At 41.9% G+C, this 22,560-nt stretch overlaps 1 long non-coding RNA gene and 1 pseudogene across 2 annotated transcripts in view; one reads left to right on the top strand and one right to left on the bottom strand.

Annotated features, from left to right (window-relative positions):
• Nucleotides 1-22,560, bottom strand: part of LOC105372896 (uncharacterized) — a 55,293-nt gene that overhangs the window by 3,610 nt on the left and 29,123 nt on the right. The window contains exons 3-4 of one of the 2 annotated variants that reach the window (XR_922530.4): nt 13,142-13,296; nt 11,681-11,921 (exon numbers count right to left, since the gene is read on the bottom strand). This is a non-coding gene — a long non-coding RNA (uncharacterized LOC105372896). Of the gene's footprint in view, nt 1-11,334; nt 11,922-13,141; nt 13,297-22,560 lie in introns of those variants that run through there. The other variant, XR_922529.4, reaches the window with a different exon arrangement.
• Nucleotides 17,070-19,474, top strand: TFDP1P1 (TFDP1 pseudogene 1; annotated as a pseudogene).

Consider the following 22,560-nt stretch of genomic DNA (forward strand, 5'->3'; position numbering starts at 1 on the left):
CTTGATTTCTTTTTCAGCTATTCTTTTATTGGTATGTAGAAACACTACTGATTTTCGTATGTTGACTTTTTACCCTGCAACTTTACTGAGTTTGCTTATCAGCTATAGAAATTTTTTGTAGAGTATTTTGGTTTTCCTAATATAAGATCATGTCATTTGCAAAGAGTGAAAATTCAACTTCCTCTTTTCTAATTCTGATGCCTTTTATTTCTTTCACTTGTCTAATTGCTCTGGCTAGGACCTCCAGTATTATATTGAATAGGAATGATGAATTTGGGCACCCTTGTCTTGTTCCAGTTTTTAAAGGAAAAGCTTTCAGCTTTTCCCAACTCAGTATGATGTTAGCTGTGGGTCTGTCATATACACCCTTCATTATTTTGAAATATGTTCCTTTTATGCATAGTTTGTTGATAGTTTTTATCACGAAAGAATATTGAGTTTTCTAAAGTACTTTTTCTACACTTATTGAGATGGTCATATGGTATTTGTCCTTCATTCCATTGATGTGATACATCATGTTCATTGATTTGTGTGTTTTAAGTCATCCTTGCCTCCTTGGTATAAATCTACTTGATCACATCTTTTTAACGTGCTGTTGAATTTTGTTTGCTAGTATTTTGTTGAGGATTGCTTGGGGATCTGGGTCTTCAAGATGGCTGACTAGAGACATTTCATACTTGCCTTCTCCACTAAGAAGAACCAAAACAGAGTAGGTAATCACATGTCAAATAGATCATCTAAGAGAATACTGAATTAAACAGAAAAGTGACAGGAAATACCTAAAGCAAGGAAGGAGAAGGAAGTGTGGCAACCTGGACAGCCAGATTGCCTTGGAGTCAAGAGAGACTCCTTAATAAGGGGAAAGAGTAAGTGATACACTCAGTAGTCCATATTCCCACTGTGAACTCCTGCAGTCCTAGCCATGAGAGAGCCCCTTGGCCCTCACAGGCCTTGAAACTAACATTGGAAATTGCCAGGAGATTGTGCAATGGCACTTCCCTAAGGAGGATGCTTGTTCTGGGTCCACACCCTCCCTGAGAGTTAAGCAGCTACAGCAAAGCACCATTTTAGAGCCCCACCCCCAATAGACTGTGAACTCTTTGGGGGCCCAGCAGTGTGGGGACTAAGGTGCAAGAGAAGCTGCTAACTCCAGGGCTTAGGTGCCAGGCTTAAATGTGAGTGATCACAGGTCTACTGCTCCTGGGGCAAAGGCAAGACCGAGGCACAGACTACTGCAGCAGCAACAGAGGTGCATTTGCCAATGGGGCTGAGGCATGAGTAGCATGTGAGCTCCCCACATGCCAGCCTAGGCCGCCATCACTGAAGGAAGCACCACTCTCTCCAGTGGCAGGGAGGCAGTGCAGCCACTGCTGCTTCCACCCAAGCATTATGCAGGTGTCCTGGGAATTGCTTCACCCCTGTTTACCATGGCTAGTGCCTGTTCACACCATCAGGAGTGCTGAAAACAAGTCCTCCCGCTCCTTGCCACTCCCCCCATGTCAGAGCACACAGTCTGGGAACGAGGAGATTGCCCAACCCGATCCACTACTATTGGTACTTCTTGCCCAACCCAATCCACCACTATTGGTACTTCTCCTGGGAGACTGAAGTTGGACTTAACTACCAGGCTGCTACCATTACAGCTGGCAACTACCTGTATGTGCCTCTTGTGTGCCTGGAGATTGCCCAGCCCAGCTCACTGCAGCCACTGCCAACACCAGTGCAGACCACTTGGACCCAGAGGACCATCCTGCCACTGACACTGCTAACTTCCAGACCACGCCATCTGCCCAGGGGCATAAGAACCCATCCACCAGGCTGACCCCTTGCTGCTACTACTGGCATTTGAGTAAGCCACCTGGAGGGCCAAGAATTAGCCTGCCTGGGCCCACTAACATTGGTGCCAGCACACACCACTCAGGGACCCAAGGACCAACATGCTTGGCCCACCACTGCCACCACTGGAGCCTAAAGACTAGCTCACCTGCCATTCTAGTCCCCAGCAAAACTTCTCCACATCCTCCATTAAGCCACCAAGAAAATTACAGATACCACTGACACTGTTTACAGCCAAAGAAATTACATAGAGACTACACTACTGCACACACTCAGAATCAAAGCCAAATGCTTTATTCAACTAACACCATAGATTCATCCTCAGGAAAAAGTCTTCTACAAAAGCAAATTCAAAAAATTGGAACAAGTGACTGTTACACCAGATGCACAGATATCAGTATAAGAGCAGGAAACATGAAAAAATAAGGAAATATGACACCTTCAAAGGAACGCAATTAGCTCTCCAGCAACGGATACCAATTAAAACGAAATACACAAAATCCTGAAAAGAAGGAATTCAGGTTATTGATGCTAAAGAAGCCCGGTGAGATACAAGAGAATGCTGCAAAACAATACAAAGAACTCAGAAAAAAACTGTTCAGACTATGAATGAGAAATCTGCCAAAAAAGACAGACATCATAAAAAAGAACCAAATAGAAATTCTGGAACTGAAGAATTCATTAAATAAAATATAAAATGTAATACATCCAAAAGCTTCAATAGGCTGGATCAAGCAGATGAAAGAATCTCAGAACTTGAAGACAGGCCTTTTGAAATAACACAGTCAGACAAAAATTTTAAAAAAGAATTAAAAAGAATGAGCAAAGCCTTGATGATATACAGAACACCATAAAGTGACCAAATATTCAAATAATCTTCTTTTTAAATCTCTAACCCCATCTCACCATCACTGTACACTACAGAACAGCCATATTTGCACCTCACCTGATAACTAGCAGAGCTCCAGGCACATGGCAAGTGCTCAATATATACTGGTGAATTCATGACTTCTCTCTCTTGATAATTCCTTTAGCCAGTTCCTAGTGAATTTTCCAAGTACATGTTCCTCATTCCTCCATGTGTTAGAGGTGGGGTGGTTAGGGAATGGGGACAGGCAGAAGGCTGACTTCAAAAGACCATTTAGAAAACGTCCCCATTTAGTCTGACCTAATCAGGTTACTCTTCAATTTCCCACAGAAAATTTCCTCCAATTTCCCCTTTCCATGGGGAAGGAAGAGTAAAGGAAAGGAGAGTGTGCTGGAGACCTCTAACCTGATACTGAAGCAGACAGGCAAGTGTCCTTTACTTATTGCAGTTTTCATTTTCTGGCATTTTTGGTGCCAGCATGCATGAGAGGGAGGGAGCATTTAGCAGAAAAGGCTGTCATTCTGACAAACAACTTGCAGCCAAGGCCACCTCTGGCTGTGTTCCATGCCAGACACACCAGGACAGCCAGGTGTGGACAAGGGGCCTGGATATGAAAGAAACACACTCTGCCCTGGAACTCCATTAGTAAGCTGAGGAATCAAGACTTACCTATGTTAAAATTACCTCAGAACATTCCTAACATAAGGTTTAAATTTTATTTTACTATATACAGTATAAACTCCACTTATACTGTTGACATTTGAATTTTTTCACAATTCCACAGAGTTAAAGTTGTTCTAAAATCTCATTCTAAAACTGGGGGAGAGAACATGGATATGGATGGCCTGGAGGCGCATCTCTAAAATTCAGTAAGGTTGGTCTTCCAGACTCCCAGGTTTCTGCTTCATGTGTCTTTTCCCACACTGCACAGCACCTTTGCAGCAACTTTAAAAGCCTCTGGGTTTCAGATTATTCTTGTCAAAACAAAAACAAAAACAAACAAACAAAAAACCATAGGATGATCTCAAAGAAAGTTCCTCCCAGGTCTGACTATGACTCCATGACTACTTGACTTTTAAACAGCCACAGATTTCTTTTTTTTTTTCTGTCAACATCCTTCCCAGTCACAAGCAAGGACAAATGTCTGATAATGTGTAAGCCCTCTGGGGAATTATTTCTTTAACAGAGATCATAGAAAAGAATCTGTTGTGGTGGGAGTTCTGGCATCAGCCAGTCAGACTGAGGAAGAATCTTTGGAGGCATGAAGTCCTTCTAAGGGCCCTAAGCCTCGGGTCATCTTCTTCTGTGCCCAGTAGCAGGACTGTGTCTGGCTCGTGGGGCAGGGCAACTCCTAGGGCTCAGATTTTTACCTTATCGGATGTTTCTATTCTTTATGTGTCTAAGTACATGGATTCCCTCACATAAAAAGTTGGATGAGTCATATGGAATCCCTAACTAGGAGGGAGATCAAGATATGGAAAGACATAGTAATAACTTATATATAGTAATACCTGCTATTGTATCCACAAATTGACCATGTGCTCACTGTATTAGGCTTTAAGCATATGTTGCTACCTTAATTCTCATAAATCCAGTAGAGAAGTGCTATTAGTCTCAATTTATAGGTGAGAAAACTGACCAAAGGTCAAAAATGTTAAGATGTGTCCAAGGTCACACCAACCAGTGGGTGGAGGTACTAGAATTGTTACCCGCTTGTTGCCTAGAGGTTTTGGGCTCCTCCTTGCAGTCTATGGCCATAGGAGTCCTGAGGCAGGAGAAGCTCAGCCAGAGGGAGCCATTTTACCCAGGGGAAGCCATTCTACAAGGAGAACTGTTCTACCCACAAGAAGCCATTCTACCCAGGTGGAACCATTCCAGGTGGAGCCATTCTACCCAGGCCACCCGGGTGGAACCATTCTACCCAGGGGGAGCCATTCTACCCGGGGGGAGCCATTTTACCCCAGCAGGGGGGGAGTGGGGGGGTGGGGGGGCGATAGGGTGGGGGGGCGTGGGGGTGGCGTGGGGGTGGGAGGGTGGGGGTAGGAAACTATTCTACCTAAGGGGAACCCTCCTAGTCAAGGGGAATTGTTCTACCCAGAGGGAGCCATTCTATCCAGAGGGAGCCATTTTATTCAGAGAAAGCCATTCCATCTGGTGGGGATGTGAGAGGACTAACAAGCACGAGGCTGTTGCCCACCCAACTGGGGGTTTCACGTCCCTCCCATCTTCGTCTCCTGGAACCAAGAGGACTTAGAGCATAAACAGAGCCTCCTTCCGCCAAGGGAACACTGGCTCAGATGACTTTTTGTTAAAGTGGGTGTGTATTTTTGGAAATGTTCTGGAGCATAAGTGCATAAAACGCTGGGTCAGACAGTGCCTGGGGCTGTGCGTAGGGAGGAGACTGGGCACTCCAAAGAACGCTGGAGCAGCAGCTTCAAAAAGTGGTTTGATATTTTTTCCTCCTGATTTTGATCTTAAAAATGTCTGGAGCCCCAGACAGCCACCGGCAGCTTTGTGCAACAGGGGCTCTAACCACCACGACCTCAACAGCCACACTGCAAAGGCTTCTAGTTAACAGAACTCTTTTGTGTGATGGAAAGCGAGGGAAAGCGTGAGAGACAGGAAAACGCTGGGGTTGACAGAGACAGCTGGTTTCTGTGGCAAGGCTTCAGAATTGTCAATGGAAAAACACAGTGGAGACAGCGAGAAATGCTGAGGCGCTCTGTGTGATCCTGGAAGCATGTTCCTTCGGCTGGCCCTGACGGAGCCAGTTTTCTTCTTTCTGGACTGAGAAAGCAGATAACTCAGCTCCTGATCTCTCAATTGCTCTGTCTTTGACCAGTGACAAGATGGCATTGATGAGTTCCCGAAGGAGTCTGACTCCTCTTGGATGAATTTTTTTAAATTCTGTTTCTTGCTTCTTCTTTTCCGAGTAGTTTTTCATGAGCAGAGATGGCAGGAGCAGACATCGTGGTTATCCAGCCACCATTTGATCACGTTGTGGTCCCCATTTGAGTGACACCCAAAGGACATGAATTATGCTAAGTGTTTGGGGCTGCTGGGCACCCCTTTGCCAAGGAAAGCACTCAGCCCCAGGTCTGAGAGAGTTGTGGCAGCCACTCATGCCATGGATTTCAAAGATGCTAGGTTGGGTTTACTACCATCGCCCCAAACCCAACTTTCCAGCCTTTTCTACCCCTACACACACACATATTCACACACATACACACACACACACACTCTCTCTCTATATATATATACACACATACACATATATATATACACATTGTGTGTATATATATATATTTACACATATGTGTGTGTGTATGTGTGTGTGTATATATATATATATATATATATATATATATATATATATATATATATATTGGCCTGCCTGGGCCCACTGCCCACTAACATTGGTGCCAGCATACACCACTCTGGGGCCATTATATATATATGTGTGTGTGTGTGTGTGTGTGTGTGTATATATATGTGTGTGTGTGTGTATATATATATATATACACACACACATATATAGTGACAATTCTGAATATATATTTTTTATATATATATATATATATATATATATATATATATATATATATATATGGTGTGTGTATGTGTGTGTGTGTGTGCATTCACAGAGCCAAACATCGATCCCACATGCCTGAAATTTAGTTTTGAACTCTCCTATTCAAATTGTTTCCTAATGCAACATGGAAACAAGGATACATTTGAAAAGCAAAAAAGACTGGAAGGAAACTGTTACTAAAATATTAAGAATGGTTGTGTCTGGATGGAAGAATATAAAATGATATCCTTCCTATATTAATTTTATGTTATAAAATTTTTATGAGAATATATTTTTTTTAAATGAGGGACATTTAGATTTCTTAAATATAGAAAATCCAATAAGGGTAATATGTTCAGACCTTACCAAGTCTTGAATTTGAGAACTCTCTGGGGGAAAGGCCCTATAAAAAGTGATAAGCGTCATGTGCTTTTGGGGAGCGGAAATGTCCAGGGAGGTGAAGACGTGCTGAAAGGGGTTGTAGCAAGACCACAAGGGTGTATTTGATATTTTGAAATAAATTTTCTGGAGTCAGTCCCTGGCTTTAGTGTCTTTATCTGTAAAGTGAAAGCACTGCATTAAATGATCATGAAAATAGTTTGTAATGTACAATAACTAGAGTTTTGTCAGCCTTTAGTGTCCTGGGAGTTCTCAACTTCCTTTTATCCTCTCTTTTCTGTCTCTCTGTTTGGAATCTAGAGGGCAGTTCTAAGACCTTTAGATGAAAATCACAACTTTTCTAGTACAACAGCATCACAAGGGAACTTAGGGCTTACTCATAAGGATACTGTAGATCTAAATGAGGCACCCAGAGCTCACTAAGGCTATCTATCTGCCTGACCCTCAATAACAATGAGTCCCTATCATGACAACACCTATATTGCCACCCCTCACATGTCTGTGTAGGAGGGTATCACACAAAAGCTTCACAGTCACTTTTCAGATTTCAGAATCTAGGAAGATAAGAGAGGGTGGTGATGAAATCAGGGGCTTTATAATTAATCAAATGTGAGTCTGAACCCCAACCCTGCCTCTTCTCAGCTTTGTGATATTAAGGATGTTATTCAACCTCTCTGGTCCTCCATTTTCTCTCACTCAAAACATAGATACTGATACCTCACTTATAACTCTATTGGAGGTGTATTTAAGAAGACAAAGTGTTTGGCATATGGCAGGTGTTAGATATCTTCCCTCTTCCTCATAACTTAATTTCTTATTGGTTCCACAAAATCTCATTTTCTCTTGCCCTAACTTCAGGAGAAACTGGGAAACAACACATTGTTTCCCGGGGGCAAAATAGTTTTATTATTCTCAAATTCGAGCCCCATACATCAGTACCAACTATCAGAATTGACATCCAACTCCCAAAACTCCAAGAAACACCTGCCCCAGAAATCCTGATTTTTCCACTTCATTTCTTCTGTCTCTAAATTATCTACACCCACACACAAACACACCCCCCCAACACACACACATCCCTCAATCATATCCACTCTTCTCCACACAAGATTGACTAAATATCCAAAGATATGCCCTGATCTTTCACCACCAGCTAAATGTCTTTAGATGTTACTACTTTGATTATAAACCCTGCCTTCTCTTCGTATTATCTCGGATGCCAACCCCATGAGACACATTAAATACATAATGCATTTTGACTTGCATCTGGGCTATGCTGTCTGGTGTGGGGAGGTTACAGCAGAAGCATATGCCTGCTTCTTAAAATTCAATTATTCAAATTCAATTTCTTCTCTTTCTCCCAGTCCTCACCAGCATGTAGCCCCTGACTTTTCATTAGATCACTCAAACACCAGCACTGGAGCCAGAAGTTTCTGTCTTCCATTTAATTTGATTCGGCGGATGTTCGCCATTGTTGTAGCTGTTACTTTGCACTGTTCTAGGCACTGAGGGCCCAAAGATGTAGAAGACAGAACAGCAACCCTTAATAAGTTCATGTCCTGGTAGATAGAGAAATGCATCTATATTTAACCCCAATAGTGTGTGACAAGAGCAATTTAAGTATAAAAGATAAAATAATATGAGAGTGCAAAAGGATAAAGCAATTAATTATTTCACTATGGGAGTAAGGAATCAGATAAGATCTCATAACTACAATATGGGTGGCAAAGCACCATATGCTCACCGGAAATGAAGATTAGAGTCAACCAAAGCAGAATTAGGGTGCCAAATATTGTTCTAAGCTCAGGCGGGGACTCCTGGGTTTAGTAAGAATAGGAAAATCACAAATTTCTTTTATTTCAGAAGAACTGCCCACCAGCAACTGATAACCTTTCTCAGCTCCATTCCCCAGCTCATGCTATTCCTTTTGCCCCTGTAAACATTGACCTCACCCCTCTTTACCATCTGAAACCCCATTCCCTTTGCCCCTGTATGCATTGACCTCACCCCCTCTTTACCATCTGAAACCCCATTTATCCTTTTTCCAGTACCACCTTCTTTGTAGATTTCTCACCCGACAGAATTAATTGCACTTCCCCTATCATTTTGGTTTCATTTTTGCTTTTTACTATTTGCTCCCATAGCATTTTTGGGCTCAACTCTAGTACCATTCATTAGTGACTGCTTTATATTGTAGATTGTGTAATCTTGAGAATAGAAAGCATATTTTATTTGTATTTGTATTCTCTTGCAGTAACTCACAAGTGCTTAGCACATCATAGACACTAAATAAATGTTCTTTGCATTGAAAAGTCAGTGGCAAATATAAACCCAGTAGAAAATATATAATGAGATACTAAGTATGTTTTTGGCCAAATTACAATGGGGAGTATTCACTACTTTTCTAAGCTACAGAAACCTTTATCCAATTGCCTGTTCAAAATCCTCTTGGCTATCTCAAAGTTACCTCACACTGAACTCATTAATATCTCCCTGGGCACTCTCAATTGGTCCTTTTCCAGTCTTCCCTATTTCTGTGAAGAGCACCATGGTTCATGCAATTGTACTAAACAGAAACCTAGGGGTAATTTTTGATAACTCTCTCCCTCTCCCATCATGTTATATCCTCTTGGTTTTGCTTCTCAAATATCTTTCAATTTCCGTCTCTAAAGCCACTACCCTCTTGCAAGGGTCCATTGGCTCCCGCCTGGAATACTGTGACAGTCTTCACTGGTCTCCCTGCGTTTCCCTCTGCACCTTCCAATCCATTCCAAAATACAAATCACATGCTACCTATACCTTTCAACCTTTTAATCACTTCCCACTGTTCCAGGGTAAAGAATGAAACCTCTCTACGGACTTTAAGACCTTGCATGGTCTTGTCTAGCCGTAGGCAAACTTTTTCCGTAAAGGGCGTAACAGTAAATATTGCAGGCTTTTGGGGTCAGGCAGCCTCTGTTGGAACTACTCACCTCTGCCATTGTAACTCAAAAGCAGCCGTAGACAATACAGAAACAAATGAGCATGGCTGTATTCCAATGAGACTTTATTTATAAAAATAGACAGCAGGCTGGATCTAACCTGGTGGCCACGGTTTGTGGACCTCTGGCCTAATCCATGCCTCCAGCTTTGTCTCTCTCAACTTTCCCCTCTGCCCTCTGTGCTCCAACCACACTGGACTTTTGCTTCCATGATTTCACCCCTCCTGCCACAGGCCTTTGCTCAGGCTGGTCGTCTATCTGTCACGCTTCCATTCTCCTTCTCTTTCCCTTTACCAACTTAACTTCGACTTTTCCTTCAAGTCTCACCTAGCTATGACCTCTTCAGGGGAACATGTCTTGACACTCCAACTAAGTGAAGATGCCAGCTCAATGCTCTAAAACCATTCCAGCCTTTCCCTTCACAGAACTCACTGCAATTTGTAAATACATAGGTATTTGTGGGGTTGTTTCAGTCTGACCTTTTCCACTCGACTGTCAGTTCCATAAAGTCAAGTCTTCATCATTTGGCCCAGTACCTTCCTGACACAGTACCTGACAGAGAGTAGGGATTGTTGATGAAAGAATAAATGGGTGAAAAAACACCAAAGACTGAATGCATGGATACAAAAAAGGGATAGATGAAGTACTGAATGTGGTTGCTGTATTAAGGGAGAAATTGGACATTGTTACCAACTTTCCCAGGAGAACTGTGTCACTATATCTCAAAATGCTTATAAATGTACATATCATTTGACTTAGCAATTCTACTTATTGGAATTTCCTTAAGGAAACAGCCATAGATGTATATAAAGATTTACATACAGATATTTTCCTCATACCGTAATAACCAACTAATTGAAACACATTGTAAATCTTCTAAATGTCCAAAAAGTTATAGAAAATAAGTTAAGTAAATTCATCAATTGAAGCCATTTACTATGCAGATGGTAGTAATAATCTTTTAAAATCATGTTCATGGAGCACAGAAGATTTTTAGGGCAGCTAAACTATTCTGTAAGATACCAAAATGGTGGATATGTGTCATTATACATTCATTCAAACCCATAGAATGTACAGCACCAACAGTGAACTCTAATGTAAACTGTGGACATTGAGTGGCAATGATATGTCAATGTAGGTTTACCAATTATAGCAAATTTACCACTCTAGTTGGGGGATATTGATAACAGGGGAGGCTGTGTGTGTGTGAGGACACGACGTACATTGGAGCTGTCTGTATCTTGCATTCAATTTTGCTGTAAACCTAAAATTTCTCTAAAAATAAAGTCTATCAAAACATATAATAAAAAATAAAAATAAATCATATTTAATGATTTGAAAAAAATGATCACAATATATCATTCAGTCAAGGCTGACTATATAGTTCACAGGGCCCAGTGGAAAATGAAAATGACGGGCCCCTAAACAGAAAAAAGTATCTTTCCTTTCTTCCGTGGTCTCTCATTTGACTTGACATGAAATTATTAATTTGCTATTTAATGTTGTTAAGTAAATAAAATTTTAGAATTTAATTTATTAGCATGAATTGTACCATTCATCTTTCTGTTGTGTGGTGCAAGTTTAAAATGTAAATAAAACCATTTCTTTTTTAGAATCACCAAAATTATACAATTTCTACTTTGAAATTCTCATATACATATGTATTTCTCTCTTGCCAGAACATGGAAATGAGTTCACAAAGTAAACTCAACTGTTTTTATTTCACTTCTTGATGTACCCACAGTCTACCGGCACCCTCTACCTTTGGCTTACTGAAGAGTAAGGAAGAACTGAGAGGAAAGGAATTACAGGTTGCCCTATTTTTCCTTCTATGTCATCATTTCAAGTGCTTGGCTAATACAGGGAGGTAACCTGTGTAAGAAAGGATATGATAAGTTTTCTTGGTCCTTCATGTTTCTTAAAACACCATTGTCTTCTCTCTGCATTAGAAGCAAGCTCTGGTTCAAGTGGAAAGCACAGTCCCTCAGGATGGTGAGCATTCAGTTATAGATATAACATGCTTACCTCATGCTTGCTTTCAGTATCATAAAGTCCCTTTCGTTGTGGACCCATCGGAATTCTGTGCTCATGGAGCACTGTGAACACTGTATGCAAATGAGGCATCAAGAACAGGAGCCACCCATATTGCGTGCATCTCCTCCACTCCCATCGGACAACACACAGGTCCAAAGATAAAAGTAAGTATTTCATGATGGCAACAGCAGAGCATTAAACCAAGCACAGGCCACATGCTCATGAAGTTAGCCTGAGTTAAATGGAAAATAATACAGTTTGATTTCATTTTTGCTTTGAAAACACACACATACACACATAAACACACACACACGAATGCACACAGGAAATTTTAAAGACTGGAAGGATATACACTGAAATATCAATATTAGCTATTTCCAGGTTTTATAAATGACTTCTATTTTTTTGCTTTGTGTTCTGCTGTGCTTTCAAAATAAACTTGTAGTAAACCTGTCTACTTGTAATAATAAAAAATAGTTTGTTTATAAGACTGTTGCTTGGGAAGCCATCCCTTTATGCAGTTACAGTAAGAAGAATGTCAGATGGCCGAACAGGCCCTCCTCAACGTGCATCCTCAGGGCAAGCCAATTTCATTTCATTTCACCACTTGGAAGCGCTCTTTTTCCCCAACCCCACCAGGATGGCGAGAGAGAGGGTGCCAGATGGTGGAGTGGCTTTGTAGTCCTTTTAAGATAGCTTCATCTATTGTTGGGACAGTTTAAGCACTCAAAGTTGTGTCACCTTCTAGTCTTTGCCAATAATGTTATCATTTGATATGGAAACGATGCATACCATTAAAATGGTAATTTGATTTTTAAATGTGCTTCAGCAGCCAGCGCGCCCTGACTGAAGTATTTATCCTGTTTTTCCAAACCCTTTCTTCTTGAGCCACAGTAAGCGAGCTGCATGGATTAAGTTCAAGTGTGTGATATATCTTCTTCATCCTTTTGTTTGTTTGTTTGTTTATTTTATGAATGGGACAGGTTTGGCAAATATTCCTTCCCTAGAGGAAGCCAGGAAGTGAACTCTGGTTGTTCAGATTTTACTACCTGCCATACTGTCTTATTCATCAGGTATATCCAAGGCACCTCTCACAACTTGCAATATAGTAGATGCTCAGTAAATCTCTATTAAATGAACAAATGGTGTGGCTTGCATAAGTGAATAAAGTCAGTAATTCACTTAGAAAGCATACCTATCTAAAATTTCTCCATTACAGTCCCAGAGGCAGAACTGAATTTAATTAGAGACAACATAGAAAATGACATACATGGTGGCATCTGAGCAATAGGGCCACTCAACTCAAAAATTTTCTACCAAGGTGCCTAGAATTCCACCAAAAGATATGCATTCCTTTGGGTTAAATCACTTCTGAAGTCTCCTTTTGAAATTCAAAATCCTCAGGAGAAAACACCATATTAACCCTTTATTGTCCGGTACAGTTGAGCTTACCAGTTAACTAGTGTTTACTTAGGACTCTAGAGAGCGAGGTCTGTGACTATATCTGGATGAGAAGGAGGGGTCAGGCATCCATGGTGGTGCTATACAAGGCAGATATATATATATAGTCTAGGAGAGCCAGAAAGTAGCACGAACACTCTGTGGGGCTAGAAAAGAGAAAGGCGGAAGTTAATTAAGGAGTCATATGAAGAAAGAAAGATGTTGAGGAAAAGAGAGATTAAGTGAATTTAAATAAATTTCACCTATTTAAAATTTTCCCTTGGGCTGGCTTTCCTTTCTATTAATTCCTTCTGGTGATGCCCCAATGCTGGCTGGCCATTCACAAAGCTCCTGACCTTTTAAGTAAATGCATCCCATTTATTCTATGTTTAGTGTCTGAAAGGGATGGTGGAAGAGGTTGATAATGGGATGGTTAAAGGAATTAAACACTTGTAGAGTTTTAACCCAGACCATCAAAATGCAGTCTTGATCTAGGCATTCAAAGTGGGTATTAAGTTCAAGATCTGACTCTGGAGATTTCCAGAATGAAACAAGAGGGAAAATGGGACAGCAGAGAACAGAACTAAATGAAATGGATTGGAATTGAAAGGAGTGGTGTTCAATTCTTACAAGGAGAATATAAAATTTCAGCCGTGTCACTAGCTCACGATCTCATCAGTTAGTTGAAAGAATTAAGTATCTTTGAGAATAAATCTTAGAGAAGAATCCATTTAAAAAAAAGAAGATGATGAATTAGCTGTATAAAAGATTTAGGTTCAGGAAAATCTAGGTTATTAGTGGATGTTGGCCATGGGGAGATTAAATAATGTTCCTCTCCTTCAATTTGTGTTTGTTTAATGCAGAAATTGGCTGGGCAGCATTACTAAGCCTTCGTGATAAAGAGAAGTTTGAATTCCAAGAAACATGTCACCCACCTTCTCCAGTCCATGTTCCTGCCAACCCTAGTTCAGCATCCAAATTTGTGAGAGGTGAAAAAAAAATGAAAAGTATGAAAACGTGATGTAATTTTCTTCCTTGTTTAATTATGAAAAGGTTGCTTTACTCTCCTTCCTTTCTACATTGTGAGCCTTTAGGGAGGAGTAAGACATTTTCAACCTGCTTACCCAAGCCATTATCAGAGTAGATTAGAGCTAGCAACCTTGCATGCAAATGGACCAACTTGACAAAAAAAAAAAAAATTGGAATTTAGATAGCAACAAATAAACTGTATTGAAGGCTAATTTCAATGCTTTGCCCTTGCATTGATGGAGCTGAAACTAGGACAGAGTTATTGAGTTGTTTAGCTGCATTCTCTCTCCTTTAGGACTTATTATACACGACTCCTCTCTCTCAATCCTCATCTGCCCTCCATGCACAAACACACCTGCCCCAGCACAGATTCTCTGTCTACTTAAAGCTAACAGTTACCATCACTCCACAGATGTCATATGATCAAATAACTCTGCTTATGACTTCAGGGCACAGCCAGATACCATAGGGTACTTGTTGGAACAAGCCATCTCTTAGTCACATATTTCTCACCTGCATGCCTTTCAGGAAATACCCCAGGCATTTATTTTCCAGATGAATTATATCTGTCATTCTCACCAATTTCTTTCTATATCCCCTCAACTCTCGCCAACTCCTTGTCTACATCTCTGAAGACAGCTTGTAGCAAAAATGCACAGCCAGCAAAATTTGCCTTTGGGCTGTCTTGTTTGTTCCTCCACCATGTCCCCATTCTTGGTGTCCTCTCAATCCTTCCAATCTACAAATATGGCTTTTCCTTTTGTGTGTGTGTCCTCTTCAATTTCATTCATTGGTGTTTTATAGTTTTCATTCCAAGATCTTTCACTTCTTCGGTTGTTTTTCCTACTTATTTTTTTGTAGCTATTGTACATTAGCGCACTTTCTGGGTTTCTTTTTCAGGTTGTTCACTGTTGGCATATAAGAAGGCTATTGATTTTGTATGTTGATTTTGTATCCTGCAACTTTACTTAACTGTTTATCTGTCCTAAGAGTTTTCTGATGAAGTCTTGAGGTTTTCCCATATAGAAGATCACATCATCTTCAAAGATGATTTGACTTTCTTATTTTCCATTGAAGAATGCCCTTTAGATTGAATATGACCAGTTGCAGTAAGTTTAAGCCAGTTTTCAACTGGCCAAAATTGGTTTTGCATAGCTATGACAGGACACAACCAGTTTAGACTGGTTCTGACCATAGCTATGACAGGCCACAACCAGTTTAGACTGGTTCTGACCATCTGTAATTGGTTTTGGCTGGTTTGGGCCAACCTCAACCTGTTCATACCAGTTCTGCCAGGTTATGGCTGGTTCTGATAGGCTTAGACCAATTACACCTGGTCACAACTGGTTTAGACTAGTTATGACTGCCACAGCCACTTTAGACTGGCTATGGCTGGCCTCAACCAGTTTTGCCCAGCTTTGTCTGCCTATACTTGGTTTACACCAGTTCAGACTGATTATGGCCTGTTCCAACCAAATCAGTCCTGTTTCAACTGGCCACAACCACGTTAGACCTTCTCTTACGAGGTGCAATTAGTTTAGTGTCATATGGAACTGGGAAAACCTGAGATACGGAACAAGCCAAAAATGCCCACTTTCACTACTTTTTTTCAACATAGTACTGTAAGTCCTAGCCAGAGCAATTGGATAAGAAAAAGACATAAAGGGCATATAAACTGGAAATAATAAAGTCAAATTATTCTTGATTGAAGATTACATTATCTTATATATGGACAAACCTAAAGACTCCATCAAAAAATTCTCATAACAGATACACAAATTCAGTAAAACTGCAAGATAAAAAATCAACATACAAAAATCAATAGCCTTCCTATATGCCAACAGTGAACAATCTGAAAAAGAAAACCAAGAAAGTGCTCTAATGTACAATAGCTACGAAAAAGAAGTAGGAATCAATTCAACCAAAGAGGTGAAAAATCTCTAGAATGAAAACTATAAAACACCAGTGAAAGAAATTGAAGGGGACACACACAAAAAAGGGGAAAGATATTCCATGTTTACATATTGGAAGAATCAGTATTGTTAAATGTTCATATTACTCAAAGTGTTCTATAGATTCAGTGCAATCCCTATCAAAATATCAGTAATATTCCTCACAGAAATAGAAACAATAATCCTAAAACTAATACGGAGCCACAAAAGACCCATAATAGCCAAAGCATTCTTAAGTAAAAAGAACAAAGTTGGAGGCATCACACTACCAGACTTCAAAATGTACTATAAAGTTATAATAGCCAAAACAGCATGGTAGTGGCACAAAAAAATAAACATAGAGGTCCCGGCGCCACTCGGCCCAGAGGGACCGGTCCACGGACTGGACCGCCGGGACCACCCGGCCCGGCCCGGCCCCTGCCTGCGCCTCTCCGCGCCGCCCTGCGCCCCGCCCGCGAGGCCGGGCCGAGCAGCCAGGTGCGGCGGGTAGGGGATGCCGTGGGCGGGGCCCAACGGAGCGGACGGAAGCACGGGGCGCGGGGCTGGACCCCCGGACACCCCGTCCCGCGCCCCCACCCCCTGTAGGCGCCGCGCAGCACCTACCTGCGCCCTCCCGGACCCCGCGCGCTCGGCGCCGGTGGGGGCTTCTCAGGTGACCGCGGGGCCGGGGTCGCGGGCTGGGCCCTCCCGGCTGACAGCAGCGCCCGTGCCCCGCGCCGGATTGGGGGCCGAGGCCGGGGCCAGGGTTGGCCGGAGCGCGGAAGGTTGGGGAGGAGAGGCAGGCCGCCCAGCCTACGGGTACCCGGTTCCAGCGCGCGCGGGAGGCTTGCAGAGGCGGCCGAAGGCCTAGTGACAGGCGCGCGGCGCAGACCCCGGAAGCCCACTTGTCAGAATTACCGGTCAGCTGGGCCGGCGCCGCCGGGGTCTGGGGTGGTCCCACGAGTCTGCACGTTGCTCCGGGACCCAGGGGCTGCGCCCAGAAAAGTCATTTTTCTTCTCTGGGAGGGTGACCATTTATAGCATTGATTTCCCAGATTTAGTAACATGGCAAAAGTTGCTGGTCTAATTGAAGCAAACGGAGAACTCAAGGTCTTCATAGACCAGAACCTTAGTCCCGGAAAAGGCATTGGTGTCCCTCATAGCCGTTCACCCCTCCATCGTCAGCCCGCTCGGGAAACAGCTCTTGCCGAAAACCTTTGGACAGTCCAATGTCAACGTTGTCCCGCAAGTGGTAACCGGTACGCCTCAGAGACCGGCAGCGTCAAACACCCTCGTGATAGGTAGCCCACACACCGCCAGCACTCACTTTGCCTCTCAGAACCAGCCTTCCGACTCCTCACCTTGGTCTGCCGGGAAGTGCAACAGGAAAGGAGAGAAGAATGGCAAGGCCTGTGGCATTTCTCCAGGAAGGTCTGAGACAAGGTGCAGTGGAAAGGGACCACTTCCTATCACGAGGTGGCGGACGAGCTGGCAGAGGAATTCAGTGCTGCCGGCAACCACATCTTACCAAACGAGTCAGCTTATGACCAGAGCAACATCGATGGCGCGTCTACTATGCCTTAAACGTGCTGATGGCCATGAACATCTCCAAGGAGAAGAAGGAGATCAAGTGAGTTGGTCTGCCCACCAACTCGGCTCAGGAATGTCAGAACTTAGAGGTGGAAAGACAGAGGAAACTTGACAGAATAAAACAGAAAATCTCAATTTCAGAAACTTATTCGACAGCAAATTGCCTTCAAGAACCTGGTGAAGAGAGAAACCAGCACGCGGAGCAGCAGGCCAGCCGGCCAACGACGCCCAGCTGGCTCATCCACCTGCCCTTCATCATCGTTAACACCAGCAAGACCGTCATCGACTGCAGCAGCATCTCCAACGACAAATTCGAGTATCTGTTTAATTTTGACAACACATCTGAAATCTACAATGACATAGAAGTGCTGAAGCGGATGAGCATGGCTTGTGGGCTGGAGTCCGGGAGCTGCTCTGCCGAAGACCTTAAAATGGCCAGAAGTCTGGTCCCAAAGGCTCTGGAGCCGTACGTGACAGAAATGGCTCAGGGAACTGGTGGAGGCGTGTTCATCACGACGGCACGTTCCATGTCTAACGGCAAGAAGCTCTCTGCCAGTGACCTGACCAATGGTGTGGATGAGATACTGGCCACAAGCTCCAACCTCAGTACAATGGCTCCAGGGTGGAGACCCCGGTGTCCTACGTCGGGAAGGATGACGAGGAGGACGACTTCAACGAGAACAACAAGGACGACTGACGTCCTCTCCACTTCACATTCAGCTTCAGGAAAATGTTTAGGGAAAATAAACTTTTTTTTTTCAATGTGGGTTTTCTGTTTCCTTTAGGCCTACTCCTAAGAAGATATTGGTAAGCCATTGAATTTAGATATGCACCTCCGATAAGCAAGGATTGTTTACCGTGGGAGTAGGACGTGCTGTGGATCTATGTTTTGATACCAGTGTGCTGATGCCCAGCATTTATTTACTTTTTAGGATTTTGTGTTTTCATTTTCTGTTTTTAAGTGCAGACTTAATTTTTGCCCCTTAACAGTTTTTGCTGAGTTTGCTGAAGAAATTGTATTTCATCCACATACATGAAAATAAAACGCCCTCCTGTTGTGGATGGTGAGCACCGAATGCCGTTTATTTGTCGTGAGTTTGGACAGCACCCACGCTGGCTGATAGTGAGACTCTGCGGAGTTGTCCATTTGTTCAGTGGTACGGTGTCCAAGAACCCCAAGCAAACAGCAGAATTCGACTTTCTAAACAATAAACACCATCAACCTTACTGACTTTATTCTCCCTTAAATTATATTGACTGTTGTGATTCCATCAAGTTTATACACTTTCTCTATTTTGCAGCAACAAATTGCAAAGTGCTTTTGTTTGTTTTTGTTTGGTTTGGTTAAAGCTTATTGCCACACTGGTGCAGCTATGGAGACTGTCTGGAAGGCTTGGGATGGTTTATTGCTTATGGTAAAATTTGCCTGATTTCTTACAGGCAGCGTTTGGAAACCTTTTATTATATAGTTGTTTACATACTTACAAGTCTATCATTTAAAGACATGTACTGAAACAAATGTTGTATTTGTTTCATAAGCATCTTCCTGTAATCTATTATAAAATTGAAATTAAATATAGGGAATGTTTTAACAATTTTTAACTCAAAATTTGTCATTTTTAATAGTTCTTTTTTTATAAAAAGAAAAAAGGAATTTAAGGACAGGCAGTAGTCTTTTAAAATTTATTCACAAAATCTATTAACTGCACGGTTGCTATTAGCTGCCTGTTCTAAAATGAGTCTTTTTATTGAAACAAACTTTTCTGTAATATTTTATGGAATATAAAGAGACTTTAATTGTTTGACTTGTTTACCTTGGCGCTGTTGGTTTTTATTAATGAAACGTGCATGGGCATCTAAAAAAAGATAAAAAAAAAAAAAACATAGAGAACCCAGAAATAAATTCGCAAATATACTGTTAACTCATTTTCAACAAAGGCATCAATAACATACATTGGGAAAAGGATAGTCTCTTCAATGAATAGTACTGGGAAAACTGGATATGCTTATGCAGAAGAATGAAACTAGACTCCTATTTCTTGCCATATAAACAAATCAAAATGGATTAAGGATGTAAATTTAAGACCTAAAACTATGCAACTACTAGAATAAAACATTGGAGAAACACTCTAGAATATTGTTCTGGACACAGATTTCTGGAGTAAGACCTCAAAAACACAGGCAACAAAAGCAAAATTTGACAAACAGAATCACATCAAGCAAAAAAGCTTCTGCACAGGGAAGAAACAACAAAGCCAGTTTCAACTGCTTTAAACATTGAGCAAGGACTTGAGTAGCCATTTCTACAAAAACAATTTGTAAATGTCCAAGAAGCACATGAAAATATGTTCAGCATCGTTACTCACAAGGTATAGGCAAATCAAAACCATAATTCACGAGTTTATTTTTAATTTGAGGACCTCCAATAATCTATGGTTTGCTGTTCATCATGTGCTGCTACTGTTCTATGAACAGTCATGAGCAGTCAGCGCTGGACACTGCTGTTTACCCCTGAACACTGCCCATCATAACCAGGTGAAGCCAGACATAATGAGTCAAAACCAGGAGAAACTAGCTAAAAGCTAGTCTAAACTGGCCGAGATCGGCTTCAACCAGTTGTGACTGGCCCCAGCCTGTTTATACCAGTTCTTTCTGGTCTAGGCTATTTCCAACTGATTTAGATGAGTTTTAACTGGCCACAAATGATTTAGACTGACTATAACTGGCTACAATCTGTTTAGACTGGTTTCTTCTGGCCACAATTAGTTTGGATTGGTTATGACCGACCATGACATGTTTAGACAGATTGAACATGGAACAACTGGTTTAGGCTGGTTTATACCAGCCACAGTTAATTTTGGCCATTTCTGACTGGTCTTGGTCTGTTCCAAATGGTTTAGACCCGTTTTGACTGTCCCAAACTAGTTTGGACCTATTATGACCAGCCACAACTGGTTTAGACTGGTTTTAATAGGGTATAACTGGTTTAGGCCAATTTTCAGTGGCCACAGTTTGTGTTTCTCACTGGTCGTGGTTTTTTACAACCAGTTTTGACTGATTTCAATAGGCCACAATAAGTTCAAACCAGTTCTGACTGGCTGCAGACAATTTAAGCTGGTTGTGGCTGGTCACAACTTATTTTAATTGGCCACAACTGTTTTAGAACACCTATGCCCAGCCTCAGTTTTGACTCATTACTCATTTTGACCAGCTGCAATTGGTTTATGCCTGTTCTGACTGGTCATGGCTGATTCTGACCAGTTTAGACTAGTTTCAACCAGTTTAGGCTGCCTCTGATCAGCTGCAGTTGGTTTTGACTGATTTTGACCTGCCATAATTTGCCTGAACCAGCTATGATTGGCTGTGACTGGTTTAAACCCTGCCTAGACCATCCACAACCAGTTTTGGTGGGTTTCAATCAGTCATTGATGATTCTAACCAATTTCAACTGGCCACAACTGCGTTAGACCACTTTTGACCAGCTGCAAAATATTGATGCTGGTTTCAGCTAGGCTCAACTGTGACTTGTTACAACCAGTTTAAACTGGTTCTGATTGATCATGGCAGGCTCTTACCGTTTTGACTGGTTATAACTAGCCACAAATGGTTTAGACCAGTTCTGACTGGCTGCAGCTGGTTTAGGCCAGTATTAAGTGGCCCACAACACCAGTTTCTAATGGTTATTGAAAGGCATGACCAGTTTAGAGTGGTTTGAACTGGGCACAACAGATTTATGCTGGTTCTGATCCATTACTGCCTGTTCCAATTTATTTTGACCAATTTTAATGGGTCACAGCTGCTTTACACTGGCTATGGCCGAACCTAACTGGTTTCAACTGATTTTGACCAGCTACAATCAGTCTATGCTGGTTCTGACTAGTCATGGTTGGTCCCAATCAATTTGGAGTAGTTTCAACTGATTGCAATCAGTTTAAATTTAGGCTGTGATGGCCCAACTAGTTTAGGCCAGTATTGACTGGCCACAGTGGGTTTGGATTGGCCTTTTCAAAACCTGATCTGGAAAGGACCCATGCTGGTTAATTATTCATTAGTGTGATTGCTTTTATCTCAGACATTTGGGTTTAAAGCCCAATGAGAAGTCTTCCTTTTGTACCCTCAAGGACCTTTCTAGTGCTAGTGATGGGATGGAGAGGAGAGGTTCTCTAGGACTCTGAATTATACCTCCCTAGGTAAGTTTCTCCAGGTATGGTGTGAGGACCCTGAGCATCAAAATTACCTAACACACTGATTAAATAAGCAACTGGACTGCTTCTCCCCCGCCAACCCCCAAACACTACTGAATAGGACTTGTTGGGGTGAGCACAGAAATCTATCATTTACTAAAACCTCCTGATGATACTGAAGCCCAACAAGGTCTGTAAACTTATCCTGGGACAATCAGTGTAAAACACTGTGCTTGCCTAGCTCTTTAACTCCCTTCTTGGTTACCCAGCCCTATTTCCACATTTTCCAAATGGGAAATTGTCCCAGAGCCACTGTGTGACTTACCAAAGATCAAACAATTGGTTAGCACAAGAGAGAGCATTGGAAAGCAAGCTTTCAGATTCCAAAACCAGGATTTTGCACCTCAAACTTAGTTTAGGGAGGGTGACACAAACCTAGAGGGTATTTATAATAAAATGACTGTCGAAACTGCCTAACCACAGAAACATATCTTTCAAACATGCTTCAAATTATCATTTAGCACATGTCCAAATGATCAGAAAAATTTCTTAGACCTCACGTGGAGACTTCAGGCAGATATTCTAACTTTCCATGAAGTATTGAGAAACTCTACAAAACCCCTTCATTCCCTGCTACTATTCCTATGATTGAGCACATCACATCAGGGCTACATCTCTGAGCCTCTTAATATTAGAA

The sequence above is a fragment of the Homo sapiens genome, chromosome 1 (assembly GCF_000001405.40).
Source record: "Homo sapiens chromosome 1, GRCh38.p14 Primary Assembly".
Lineage (NCBI taxonomy): Eukaryota > Metazoa > Chordata > Mammalia > Primates > Hominidae > Homo > Homo sapiens.